Below are 15,500 nucleotides of genomic sequence, written 5' to 3' on the forward strand. Positions count from 1 at the left end.
TTGAAATAATATAATGCCAAGACAACTTTATACTTTGCCTGAAACCATTTCATTTACATGCAAAATAAATCATTACTACTAAGGAAAAAACCCACATCTACATGAAACATTCTCCTCCAAGCTAGAATATTAATTTTCCAATCTGTTCTTTACTTTTTATTATTAAAATTGTGTATACTATTAACAATCAGCCATATGTAATGCTATGTATTGTTTATGGACATCCAGCAGAAGATCTTTTAAAATCTCTTTGTTTTGTAAATGGTCATAAGAAAATAATCTAAAAGTAATTTGGAATAAACATAACGCTTCCCTTTTAAATTTGCTAAATGAAGTATATCTATAGACTTTCTTCTTTTCAGTCTTTAAAGCTTTCAGATTGCATATCTTTATTTTTGCATTTAGAAAATTATCTAAGCAAATGACTTATCTTTACTTACAATCATGCCAATTGAGTTTATGCAAAATCTAAGTTTTTCTTAGAGCCACGGGGGAGGAGAGTAAGAGATAGCAGTTATTGGGTCCTAAATTCACCCTCTGGCACTGAGTTAGTTGCTGGAAAACACTAACATCTCTTCTTGAGTATTTATTGGGATCACTAAGTAAGTATGTTAGTATTTAGCTATTTGCAAACAGTCAAAAACAAACGACTCTAGAGAACAAAAGTGTAAATTTAAGATGCTATGCAATGGGTACTTTCTCATAAAATTCATGCCAGTTATCCTTTATTATCAAGTAAGGACATCTGCAGTAACTTAAAGAGAAAAAGAGAGACAGAGACAGAGAGAGAGAAAGACAGAGAGGGAGAAGCCCTCACAATCTATTCTTAGTGTTTTATAAAAGGATTAGGCATTGCTATGACTAAGTTATTCTATAAATATTATTTATAATTTCAAAACTATATAGGATCAAAGCCATCCTGTGAATTGTTTATATATATATATTCTTATTCCTCCATAAAAATAAATGATGTTGAAATATTACAGATACATATATCTATAGCTGACCATCTAGGATTACTTGAAACCAATTAATAAATCAACAGACTTTGGAAAAGTTAATTAAACTTCTTTATCCATCAAGATCTCTGTATAACATGATTAATGGCATCATAAATGAAACTATAAACTCATTAGAAGAAATTTCTAAGTTATTCAGTCTTTGGCAACTTTTGGTGAAAAACTTGCAGCCGTACTTTGATGGAACCTGTCTAATTTTAGAAAGGTATGAAAGATAATGATCTGTTACAAATTTATGTATTTTATAATGACACTATAATTCAAATGTTTTTAAACTCACATTGTAACTTCTGTAATATTTAATGTGTTTTCTATTTGACTTTTTGAATAGCAATTCACATATATGAATAAGAAACTTGAATATTTTCATGTATTTTAATTAATCCCTAGCTAAACATACTTTTTTAATGCCAGATACACACACATATATATGTTATTTATTTTATAATTTGTAAAAGGCAAAAACGTAGGAATAGCCTATCTTTCAATAGGGAGTTGGTGGTAAACTGATACTAGGGAATACTAGGCAATCATAAAAAAGGGGTAATGTCTGTTGATCTGGAAGGCTGTCCATAAAGTACTATTAAGTGAGTAAAGTAAGTTATTGAATAATGTGTAGAGTATGCTCCCTAATCTGTAAAGAAAAACCCTTATTATCGTATATATGTATTAGTATGTAGAGAAATGTGTGGAAGGACTAATACATAGACATAACATATACATTTCTATTTAATACTCTAAGCATGTATTACTTTTGTAATTTTAAATTTTATTAAAAATATATTTTAAAAAAGAATTAATCTTAAAAAACAGAAAGAGGGAAAAAAGAAAAATACCTAAAATATGATGAGCTGGTGAGCTTTAACTATCAGGATGATGAATTCTACATTTACTTGCTTTGGATTTAAAAGAAAGGCATATGGGACAAATCACTAAGACCAGAACCATTGCTTGAAGATAAATTTAGTTACATAAGTACATTCAGAAGCCAAAGAAATTTTATTTGTAAGGGAATTCCATCATAATTTCTTATTTGAAAGCATATAAAAACTGAAATAGGAAAAATATTTCATGATGTACTGATTTACTAGTAATCTGTACTTGCACAGCTGCATAACTGCTGATGTTTGTAGTAATGATGTGATTTGGAGTAATTGTTATATATCAGCATTTTGCAATTAACGCAACAGGTATTGAAATTTGTTAATGTCTCAGAACACATACAGGATGCTGTTAGATTCTGATTATGTATTTAACAGTCTTCTAATTTAATGAGTCTAGAGTCACTGAGAGCAAACCACAACCTGCTATTTTCCATGCAAAAGCAAAATAGGGTGACCTTCAAGTTAGAAACATGTAAAGCAACACATTGCAAATTATTGATGATTTGTGGATTAATGTCAGAATATTTTAAATGCAAAAATTAGCCCAGTTTATATTTGGATTTAATATTCCAGACCATCTGTCTCCTCATACCTGTACGTCTCCTCCCTTTGGGCAAAATGATTTCATCTACAATCTCAAAGAGAATTTAGAATTTTACATAAACTCAACCTTTTCTTACCAAAGTTATACATTTATCTGTATCTTTATCCTGTAATTATTTTCTCTCAATAAAATAATGAAGGAGGGAGACTTCTCTAAGACTAATCCTTTCATATGTTCTTTTCCTCTTAACTCTTCTTTTTTTTCAGGAAACTGTTATAATTAATAATCTCTTCTCTCTCCTGTATCTCCAACCTCTCACACTCTATAAAATCTTCCAAAACAGACTCAAAATTTCACCCATTCTCAAAATATCTTTCTCTTGATATTATTCCCAGTCCAACTATTTCCCAGTCTCTCTCTCTTCTCTCTCATCTACATTTCTCAAAAGATATCAACACTTGGAGAAACTTCCATATCTGTATATTAAATTTCCCATTTAGCATCACTGAATATGTCAAAGTCACTGCAAATTCAACACATCCGAAACTAAACACAGGATGACTAATTTAGCACCCTTCTACTGTGAGAAATCTCAGTTAATGTTACCCCCATCCATCCAACTTTGCAAGCCAGAAGCCTAGAAAAAAATGATTAACAGTTTCTTATCCCAATTCCTTCATATCCAGTTAATCACTAAGTATGGTATTACATTTTAAGTTCTAAATATTTTTTGAATCTTAACACTTCTCTCCATTCACTCGAATTTCTGGCTCCCCAATTCCCTGATTACTTATTCCAATAGTTTTAGCCAGCCATTCACATTGATAATACTAAATATTTACATTACCAACAAACGATTAAGTTAGAAGGTCAATACTTGCTTCCCAATCAGCATATGGACTCACTCCCTTCTAGAACATTTTCTTTACTTGGCGTCCAGGGCTTCACCTTACCTGATTTCCTCCTACCTCCATTCAGTCTGTCTCAATTTCCTTTGCCGTACTATACCTTTCTCTTCTGTTCTGCTCATACAAATTATGGAGTATTCTAAGGCTTGTGCAGTTTTCCATCTACACTTTCTACATATGGAATCTCATTTAATGTAATGAATTTAAATATGCTTGATGACCCAGACTCCTCCCTTGAGCTCCACAGTATTATATTTATTTGCCTATGCAAAATCTTCACTCAAATATCAAATAAACGTCTCCAATTTGTTATACCTTAACAGAATTTTTTATTTTCCTCATAAAATTTGTTCCATTTTCTTTTGAGTCTTCTCCATCTCAGTTTATGACATCATTCTTAGCCAGTTACTCAGGACAAAAACCCAGGTGTCATTGGTTGTATTTTTCTTTTCTTACCATCTGCATATCACATACTCATTTATAATTTCCCTCATAATAAATAATCATGCATGTAAATAATATTAATGTAAATGCATGTAAATAATATTAAATAATATTTTCTCTTTCCCTACACAATGGATTTTATGATATTAGGAATTACGTTAACTTTTCTCTCTATTCTTTCCTCAGTATCTTAGCCAACATTTGACATGTAGTAAATACAATGAATATTTACTGGCTGCATATTGTGAAATAACATATATGGAGGAGGGTTTGTGTTTTGTTCTGTTTTCTCCTGTTAAAAACAAATAAAATATGGTATGTTTGACTGTATCAACAGTGGGAAGAATTTTTCTTGGGAGAAATCACTTTTTACCGAAACAACCAGAGCCAGATGATACACAATCTAAGATTCATAACCTATCACCTAAAATCGTTACTACTTCCAATCAATTTTTCCCAATCCCATAAATCCTACAGTATGATCTAGTGACAACAAGGAAGTGGCTGCCAAAGTCCAGCACTATATTGTCTTTTATTTTATTTTAGTGTCCATGAAATTTGAATTCTTACTTGTACTTTTGATGAGGGAGGCTGGGGATGGTAGCATTAATGCAATTAGGAACAGGTGAAAGTTGTTCTCATACGAAACCACAACTTTGTTTTTCAAATCTCTGCAGAATTTTAAAATAACTCTCACTTAAGAAAATATTTTTTAAAACTGTGCCTATGTTTGTTCATATATGTCTTAGATTAGTTTATCTGATGTATTTAAAAAGTTACATTATCTACAATTATAGGAGTACACGCTTAGATCATGGAATTTATTGGTCCAGGATAAAATACTCTGTGTGAGAACTGCATTATAAAATCCTACACAGAAGTAGGCTTAATAGCTAAAAATTAAAACTAAGAGAAAGACATTGAGCGATTTTTTTGTAAATTGCTGAATGACTCTAAGTCTGTTTCATCATTTATGAATGGCAATAGTGACTACTGTTTTTATATGCTTGTCATAAATATTCAATGTCACAGTGTAGCATACCTGATATAGATACATATTAGGATTTTCTAAAGGTGGCAAAAACAAGCTCCTAGCTAAATATAAGATTTTGGAAAAGACATCAGTACTCTGAGAAAGAAATAAAAAACTGATGTTTTGGTTTTCCCTTTGGTCCTTTCTTTCCTGGTGTGTAGAACAATATAGCTATTCTCTCTGGGATTTGAACTCTCGGATTTCGGGGTCAGAGATTGAACAAAGGAGTTGCTTTGTAAATTTATCTTGCTCTGTTCAGGAAAAAACATGGTGTTTTTCCCTCAACAAGTAAATTTTTTATGGTAAAAGGTTTTTGTTGTTATTTTATTTTTACTCTACTAAAAGTAACTATAATTATTCCATAAATGACTCAAGCATATGGAACACTTTACTCTGAGCAGAAGAACAGAATGCTATAAAACTTACATGGCTACAAGCATTCAGAGTTTATTAGAGGTGAGGTTCCCTTTCCTTATCATTCATTCTTTAGTACTGAGTTACTGCAAAATTACAATGAAATTACACCTCTTTGGGTTTAAGGGTAGATGATGGCAGAGAAGGAAATCACTGTAATGGAATTTTGTTGATAAATCAAAGCACTCTCTGCTAATTAGCTCCTGCCTATATACATAGTACAGAAGAATAATTGTATGTTTATGAAAAAATGATTAATTAGGGAATGTGCTGAGGTAATAAGAAAAAGGCATGAAGAGAGCAATTTGAATTAATATCTACACATCATTTTATGTAACCACATCACAGAAGGGGGTCTCAGTTAATTATATTCCCCTAGTTAGATAGAAAATATGAAAAAAGGTACTTACTTAGGATCTAATACAATATATGCCTAAATTACATGGTGAAATAAATTCAACTCTTTTCTAAATATATGGCAGGCATAAAAACAGAAACTTTGATCTCTACTTAAGAAATCTTTTTGGTTAAGTATTGTTCATTTATAAAAACTGAAACAATGTTTTAATTAAAATATGGGCTATAAAACAAATTTAAGATCTATGAAATATAATTCCAACCCTTTGAGTAATTTTCAATTTTAAAAGTAGGTCATACTGGGAATTCTAAATGCAGACTCAAATTATCATAATTTAGTCTTCTCCTATAGAAGTTTATAAGATCTGTGTGCACATATAAATATACAGGTATATGCAATGGGTTCAGGCAAACAGATGTTTTTCCTCGAATCTGTCTAACTCATCCCATCTGTAACCCATTGAAGCTGATGAAATAAACACCCTTCTGTGAATATGCAATATCATTCCCTCTACTATTCTTATTTTGTGTAAAACTATTACCAAAATTGAATATTAAATCAAAGTTTCATGATGACTGGGCTGGAGCAGTGCAGTCCAATAGATCTATAATACAAGCTAAATAAGTGATTGAAAGTATTCTAGCAGACATATTTAAGAAGATGAAATTAATTGTATTTATTTACCCAATATACCCATATTATTAACATTTCAACGTGTCACTGATATAACACATTATTAATAAGATATTTTATATTCCCTTTTTCATACTAGTCTTCACAATCCAGTGTACTTTTTACAATTACATAGAATCTCAATTTGCTTTAACTGCACTGAAAGTGCTTAATGGCCATACGTGACTAGTGGTTACCATATTGGACAGTGCAGGTCTAGAGCAATCTTGAGAGAGACTTACAGGTCTGATGACTTAATGAAAAGGCCACAAATTTTATATTAACCAGGGAGTACTTTAATCAGGATTCTGTTTGTGAGGTACTGCACAATAATGCAGCATGAGCACCTGGAACCAACATGGACACTGAGACCTTACCTTACAGTATATAAATGTACAAAGAGAACCCTGGTTTTAGTTCCAAGATAATACCTTATTGCTTGCTCTAGGGCCTTTGAGGACAAGAATATGATAATACATTATTTGAAGATAGTTTAACCAATTGATCTCTCATACATAGATGTGCCTTTATATGGCAAAGTTGCATGACACACAGAATAATAATCAAGTTTCCTTCAGGACAAGAAAAAATAAGAATGGCACCGTCGGAAATATTATATGCTCAAGTACCCAGGGTAGGCAGATGTGCTAGACAGAAATCAAAAATTGCTCCCAGGATTACAGCCACTGAAATATACACATACCTTTCCCACTTATTTAAATTCTAACCCAGGTGCTGATGTGAAAGGATTTTGCAGATGTAATTAAGGTCCCAAATTTCTTGACCTGAAGATAGAAAGACAATCAGCAAGGGCCTGACTTAATTCCATGAGCCTTCATATCTGGGTCTATTGGTCAGAGAGACAAAATCTAGGAGATTCAAAGAATAAGACGGATCTGAAACACTGTTGCTGGGTTTTGAAGATGGTGGGGGTGGGGTGGGAAGGGCTGGTTCATGACAAGGAATACACATGGCTGGCTAAGAGTCAGCAATAACTTGGGAGCCTCAGTTCTACAACTTCAAGGAACTTGGTTCTGCCAACAACCTGAATGAACTTGGTAGTGGACTCCAAGCTCTAGATGAGAACACAGGTCAGACAGCACCTTGATTTCAGCCTGGTGAGAAGATAAGGAAAAAACCCAGCTATGCCATGCCTGTAATTTTACCTGTGGAACTGTGTTTTGTTTTGTTTGTTTATTATACTTCAAGTTCTATTTTATTATACTGTAAGTCACTCAGTGAGTTTGAGTATAATATTAACATTTTAGGGTCTCTAGAAGCTTTGGTAACAATGTCTGAGCATTTTGCTATCAAGGTAAAAGCCACTTTTGCAACTTTGTGACGCTAAATACTTCTGTTAAAGTAACCACTTTAACTGTATGAACAGTAATTAACAACTGAGCTGAGACGTTTTGCTCTTCCCCTATAATTCTGTGATAACCTTGGTATTTTATGGCTACTGGGAAGTTGGGACAAAAGTCATGTGGAAAAGAAGAGATTCACACACTCTCCTTCACCTCTTCAAACTCTCTTTAATTCCAAAGTAAATTTAATATAAAGAACTTAGTGGACTGAGGATAGACTTATAATAAAGGGCTGTGTGCTTTTATTTATTGGACTTAAGGATCATAATACAACTGCCACTCATCTAAGGTAACGATCTATGGATGATTTTGACTGTTTGATTTGGACATGAGTTATGAACTTAAGTTCCTTGGGGGCAAAACAAACAAGGAAAAAAAAATGTGCCAATTGTGAAAGTGGTGCCAAGAATATCATATCATCTCTCTCATATATCACACATGGGTCACACTGCTAAAGGATTAAACTGTTATGTGACCTGTTACTTAATAACCACTATACCATAAAGTAAAAGTATGACACAGGCATTAAAATGTGACAAGAATATAAAATGTTTCAAATAGCTGCCCAAAGGAGATTTAGATAGTTAAACTGAGTCAAATTACTTTACTTTATATTGTGAAGCACCTAGAATAATTGAATTGGAGCAAGTAACTAGATAAAAATGCTTGATATCTAGCTGTTTTAATGATTTCACAAATTTGAAGAGTTATTAGTCAGTTAACACATGGACTGCTAACTAACACAAAGAAATGTTTTGCCAATGGAAACTTGACTTATTGAGATTAACAAATTTCAGCCCTAATAGAATAGGAGACTGAGATTAAAAGAAATAAACAAACAAACAAAAAAAAATCTTTGGATATATATTTGACAAAGAATCTAAAATGGATTAGAATCAAATATTCTATTCTATCAGAATCTATATGAAAATAGCATGTATGCAAGCTAAAATAAATAATATACAGAAAAGAATGAAAAAGTCTTGCTAAACATATTTTTTATAGGATTCTTGATGGAAAAGAAAAACCACCAAAGGCAAATACTATTTTTAAGGCACTTAATTCAAATAAGGTAAGTAGGGAGAGGTTCTAAAATATCAAGTATTATTTTCATTATAAGCAGCATATTCTAGGAGACTAAAGGTAAAAAAAGAAATTCTATTCTATCTTATCCAATCTTCCTGAAAGAAATTCCAGCAGCAGCCTATAATGTAAATGAAGTGTGGAAACCAACTAATACATTGTAGGCTTGGGAAAGAATAACATTGCTTAGAAAATGAAAGTTGATCAAGACTGGAAACATTTCACCTGCTTTCATTTAAATCTTCCCCCCCGCCCCCCGCACCCGCCCCCCCCCACGCCCGCCCCGCTGGTTTGGGAAACAGAATACAATATAATGGGGTGGAAGGACTATGAACACTAAATATTTTGAAATGGCCACATTGACATGCTCAATGTAATTTTCTGTGACTAAAAATAAACTAGGCATTTGGATAATCCGCCAGTTAAAATATGGTTTAAGAAACTCAAAACAATTATTTTCTTTTTTGGGGGGGTTTGAGGGGGACAGTGTCTTGCTCTATCCCCCAGGCTGGAGTGTAGTGACACGACCTCGGCTCACTGTAACCTCTGCCTCCCAGGTTCAAGAGATTCTCCTGCCTCAGCCTCTTGAGTAGCTGGGACTACAGGCATGTTCCACCACGCCCGGCTAATTTTTTGTATTTTTAGTAGAGATGGGGTTTCACCGTGTTAGCCAGGCTTGTCTCGTTCGCCTGACCTTGTGATCTGCCCGCCTCGGCCTCCCAAAGTGCTGGGATTACAGGTATGAGCCACCGCGCCCTGCCCAAAACAACTATTTTCATTTGTAGTTTTTGTCCTCCTATTATGTAAGATTCACTTCAATCAATTGACAGATGCTTTGAAAAACTATGATGACATTTAAAAATATTATTAAATTAGCGCTCTGCTTTCAGTGAAATACACACCCACCTCATCTCAGAGAGGTAAGCATTTGTTGCAATACTGAAGACCTGAAAAAGCAGACACTTGTTACTTTCACATCTTACCCAATCTGCATCAAAATGTTCCATGATCATACACACTTTTGCAAAGCATCCAGGCTAAATCCTTCATGTAAATGTCAAACTTTCTCATAAACATCCCCTCACAAGTCAATTGATTCTGACAAGTCAATGCAAGTGAAGAATGGAGTCACACTGCATTATATTTAAGTTCTAAATAGGCGTTAATGAAAGATATCTAGAGTTTCCTAAAAGGAACAATTAACTATTGCTATGAATTATTTTAAATTATTGTACTTAGAAGTTTGGTATAACATTGAAATGCTTAAAACCTGAGTAATTTTGATATATCAATCCTGTAGTCACTAACCTACTGGATTAACGCCCTGTTGATATGTAAATTACTAACTTCGTGAGGTTTTCAAAGTGATTATTATGCCAACATTTCAACTGGAGCAGTAAGTACCACCAATAAACATAAGCTGTATGCTGGCTATTGTGCATTATTTAATCTTCACACCAATCTTAAGGGTTATAAGAATTCTCAGTTTCAAAATGACCATTATAATTCCCATTTTACAGATAAAAAACATCATGGAGCCAATATTTGAACCTAGACATTCAAGAACCCCTGCTTTTTACCTATATTGTGGGCTACAGGTGATTCTTCTTAAGAATGATGGGCTGTACTTTCTGTATTATCTACAAACAGTGACTGGCCATGGTCACCTATTTATGATAAGGCTAATCTGAATTAGGTGTTTTAGTCTGAGATTACTGGAATCTCAGAGTGAATATGTCCTGGAAACCGAAGCAGGCAAAAGGATTGAGAATTCCAATCATGCTTTTGTTTAAATTTTGAAAATATTAAATCTATAACAAGATACACTATGATTTTGAGTTAAATAACCTCAATTACAAGCATTAAGGACTATAAGTGATCTATCAGTGTGGTTTTAACCTTTCTCTGCCTCTACATATCAGCCAATGACCTACCATAATTAGTATCAGTGGCCAACATTGTAATTGAGATTCTCAAGGTGAAGAGAGAGAAATGCTCTCTCTTCCTTCAAGGGGCCCATCAAAAGGGCTTTAGGTACAGATCAAAGCTCCTGGTGTGGCTTTAAAGACCTCTCTCCTTCCCCCGGGAAGCACGTTCTCTCACCCTCAAGGTTTGAGAATTTTTGATGTACAGAAAGATAATAAATAATAACACTTATTGAGTGATTTCTAAGCCAGGCACTGTTCTAAGGACACACTCAATCTTACAATTTATGAACTATATTAGTATTCCCATTTTATGCATGAAGAAAGTGAGGCTCAGATAATTTAAGGAACTTACCCACAGTCACACATCTAAAAATGGTAGAGCCTGGCTCTGAACTCAGAAAATCTGATTCTAAAGACGGAACACTTAACCACTGTACTATATTACCCCTAACTAGTCCACTGGAATAACTACATAATTATAAGAAAATCATCAAAGCAAATGTGAAAACTGTTCTAGCTGATAATGCAGTTGCTCTGCCAGGGTCTCAAGAAGGAAAATTTCTTTCATAAATATAGGAACAATCTAAGATGAACCCTGGCTTATAAAACTATAGTTTAGGCCTTCGGCACTCTCTCCCTCTCTCTAATTTTTTCATAATTTTACCTTGCTCGAAATAACTAGACTAACTAGTCTTGATTGTGCCCAAGTGTCACAGTGCCACTGTTGTAGAAATCAATTTACTCTAGCACATGCTTCGCTTTCTTTTTAGAATTTAATTTTTCTATTCATTAAAAATGATATATTAAGATGACATATTTATTTTAAAAACATGTAAAGGCAATAACATATGAATGAAGAAATTATGACTAAATTCAGTGACACAGATTTGAATCTCATAAATATAATATTTCACAAAAGAAGCCAGATGCATAGAATACAAACTGTATGACTAAATTTATATAAAGTGAAAAACCAGGCAATCTGACCTATGGTATTACCATTTAGGACAGTGGCTACCCTTGGAATGAGGTACAAGGTAGCTTCCAGGGCTCTGTTGCCATCTTGTTTCTTGATCTGGTAAATGGCAACACAAATGTTTCATTTTTGGAAATTCACTGAGCTTTACAATTATGTTTTGTGTACTTTCACACTATATACGCTTCAATACAAGAGTTTACATTAAAAGCAAGTATTCTTCATCCAAAATTCCCATTTTGTTAACTTTAGTACTACCTTCTCTCTCCTAAAAGGATGAGATTTATTATTTCATAAATAAAGCTAACAATATCTCTACATAAGATGGTAATGTTATATAGGAAATATTTTATGAGATATTTTAAAAGTCAGGTTGATTGAAGTATAATTTATATACAGTAAAACATACAGTTCTATAATTTTTGATAAGCACATGCTTTTGTACAACCATCGCCATGATCAAGATAGAAGAATAGTTCCATTATCTCCTCAAATTATCTCCTTCCCTTTTCCAGTCAACCTTATCCTCCGATCTCCAGCTCTTGGCAACATTTCTGTCCTGATGGTTTCACCTTTTCCAGAATGCCATGTGAATGGAATCATGCAGTATGTATTTTTTTTAAGTCTGGTTTCTTTCACTTGGTGTAATATATTTGAGATCCATCCATGGTGTTGGGTGTATCAGCAGTTTGTTCCTTTTTATTCTATTGCTCAGTAGTGTTACAATATATAGATATGCCACAACTGAAGAACATTTGAGTAGTTTCCAATTTTGGGTGATTATGAAAAAGCCACTACAAACATTAGTACATAGGTTTTTGTGTGGGAATGAGTCTTACGTTTTGTTTTTAAATTCCAAGTTATACTTTTACCTGCACAAAATATTTTCTATATTGCCTTTATGTTAATTCTTATACCTAGAGAATATGCCAACCACTTAAAAATAATATAAAATCAGAAATTGAATTAAATTAAATAATAAACTTCTGCAAATTCCTTACTTATAAATATTTTTGTAATCATCTATTGAATTAAGAGCAAAAAATATTCTATTAAAGGTATATATTAATAACTCAAAATCCTGTTTAGACTACACAAATTAAAAATCGAGGCCGGGCACAGTGGCTCACACTTGTAATCCCAGTACTTTGGGAGGCCGAGGCAGGCAGATTGCCTGAGGTCAGGAGTTTGAGACCAGCCTGGCCAACATGGTGAAAACCCATCTCTACTAAAAATACAAAAATTAGCCAGGCATGGTGGTGGGCACTTGTAATCCCAGCTACTCGGGAGGCTGAGGCAGGAGAATCACTTGAACCCAGGAGGTGGAGGTTGCAGTGAGCCAAGATCATGCCATTGCACTCCAGCCTGGGCAACAGAGTGAGACTCGGTCTCCAAAAAAAAAAAAAAGAAATCGATGGTGTTACTAACTGGGACTCTTGTATCACAATGAATGAAGGAAAAAGAAGTAAGAAAGTTGGCTTGAGAAGGAAAGTGTTTTATGCCTCTTTCAAAACTTTCCAATTTGATATATTATGAGTTACAATATATTATAAATTTAACCCAACTGGTTAGTACTTTTTGTTCATGATAACTAGGAAAGGATTTGAGCGACAAAATGGAAACATGGTAGATGTTACCTAGCATGTTGTGGTAAAGTGGAATGGCCCGTCCATGGGTAGTAAATGCAGTCATGACTAGTGGGACCGTTACACCTGCAGGCAATTACAGAACAGAAAACATCATTCTCCATCCACAGTGACATGCACACACATGCACCAGTGCTCACACATGGAGCCTTGGAGGAAGAACATGGGAAGCAAGCACACCAAGTACCTATCCATCAGGCCGATGCAGTCTTCAATACTTGAGCCTATGCACCTGCAGAAAATGCAAATTTAAAAAAATACAAGGGGAAAAAATTAGTCATTTAAAAAATCAGTAAAATAAATATTGATTGTCTCGAATTCTTATAACTATTAGACTATTTTGGAACACAATGAATTTCAAGCCAGGAAGATTTTTGCTTGATGAATACACAGAAATGAATTGCCATTATCAACTAAGTGGGATGCAAAGAAATGTCCAAAGTAAAAGGAAATTTTACACTGGTTCTGTGAATAACTTCCAAACGCACAGCTCACTTCTAATACTTTGAACTGATATGCATCATACATGATTACATGTCTCAACAAATATGTTGATATTTCAATGACTATAATTGTTTTCTTGTGTATGGTTTCTTCTTAAAGGCCTTAAGTTTAAATAAAAAAAAAACAATAAGAAAACCATGAGCAATCCAATATCATATAATAACCTGATGCTCAATGCTCATTAAAGGTTGATTTTGGCAGAAAATGAGTCAACATGCTTTAATGCTATTCTCATGGATACTTTACATAATCACATTATTCTGATTCTTGGTTGTGCCTGTCTTTAAAAGATACTTATCTTAAACATGAATTTATTTTAAAAGAAAATTAACTGGTTTCACCATACTGCAGTTTCTCTTGACACTGTCTTTTAAAATAGCAATGCCATAACAGGTAAACAAAAACAAGTTTTTAAACTACCATAATAATGAACGCAAACAATAACAGATAAATATATACTATGTAAGGAAATGAATTACCTTTGAGACCCAGTTAAGTAAAGAATACAGTGAGACTAACATTTAAATGGAATTACATAAGTACACAGAATTCTAATGTGCAGTCCCTAGAATTTCATTTTGAACCAATATAGAATTATTATTTCTTTCATCTTCCAATATACTCGAACTCTTTATCTTTTCCTTTTCTCCCATCAAAGACATACAGCTCCAGAACATTATCAAGATCCTTTTTATAGTTAGGATTTATAGAAGTGCCTTATTTCGCTGGTAATAAAGATTACATATATTTCCAAACTTTTAATTTTCAAATTTGAAAAAGCAGCTTAAGATAGGATCATCATACAATGATGTAAAAAGGTGCCAATGTATAAGGCCAGTCTATCCATTATATATTTAAATAACTCTAAACATTGGTGAACTAATATAATATACCTATAATACCAATTAAGTCACTTATCTCTCTGTCTCATAAACATTTGTTATAACATTCCTGCTAGCTTAAAAATTGATTTTTGTTTTTGTTTGGAGTAGCGCAGACAAATTTTAATCTATAGAAATAGAGAGAATACACCTGTATGAAAAGTCTTTTAAAAAGCAACTAAAAAGGAAAAAAACTAGAGTACATAGCATTAAATTAGTATTATATATAATCTATAGTCAAAATCATTTCTAAAAATGGAAAATTAACTACTAAAAAAGCTTCCAATTTGTCTTATATAGTTTTCTTTTCATTATATTCCAAATAACTTGTTTTTTCCTAAGTTCCTGCTCTATCTTCTTGAAAATTATTTTTATGCCATATTATCATTTTGTAAAATTAAAAGTCTGCTTATCAGTTCCAAGTGAGAATCTAAAAAGCTATGGCTAGTTTGCAATCCATCTTTATAACAACCCTTGAAAGATTAAAAAAAATTCAAAACTAAAATTTAACTTGAGGGAAAAGTGTGAATATGAAAGATACTCATTCATTAAAAAAAGCACTGTGTTACATGTCTACTAAGTGTTCCTAGTATTCTAGGAGCTAGAGGGAGAAAAAAAGATGAATTAGACATTTTTCTGTTCTCAATGAGCTATGAATTTAATGAAGGAGACAGATGCATAAACAGATGTGTATTGAATAATGTGATAAATGTAATAAGAAACATGAAAAAGTGGTTCATGGTAGTGTGGAGGGCAGACACCTAGAGCCAACCTAGAAGGGCATGATAACCCTCTTAGGGGAGGTAAGAAGCTGAAATTTAGAGTTCTGCAAACTGGGGTTG

General features: G+C 33.2%; 1 protein-coding gene across 11 annotated transcripts in view; it reads right to left on the reverse strand.

Moving 5' to 3' along the window:
- Nucleotides 1-15,500, reverse strand: part of ERBB4 (erb-b2 receptor tyrosine kinase 4) — a 1,163,086-nt gene that overhangs the window by 268,773 nt on the left and 878,813 nt on the right. For 4 of the 11 annotated variants that reach the window (XM_006712364.4, XM_017003579.3, XM_017003577.3 and 1 more), the window contains 2 exons: nucleotides 13,461-13,505; nucleotides 13,265-13,339 (listed from right to left, as the gene is read on the reverse strand). In XM_006712364.4, the coding sequence (XP_006712427.1) occupies nucleotides 13,265-13,339; nucleotides 13,461-13,505 (120 nt within the window). The remainder of the gene's footprint in view (nucleotides 1-13,264; nucleotides 13,340-13,460; nucleotides 13,506-15,500) is intronic. The other 7 variants (NM_001042599.2, NM_005235.3, XM_017003581.3 and 4 more) reach the window with 2 other exon arrangements.

This window comes from Homo sapiens, chromosome 2, assembly GCF_000001405.40.
Source record: "Homo sapiens chromosome 2, GRCh38.p14 Primary Assembly".
Classification (NCBI taxonomy): domain Eukaryota; kingdom Metazoa; phylum Chordata; class Mammalia; order Primates; family Hominidae; genus Homo; species Homo sapiens.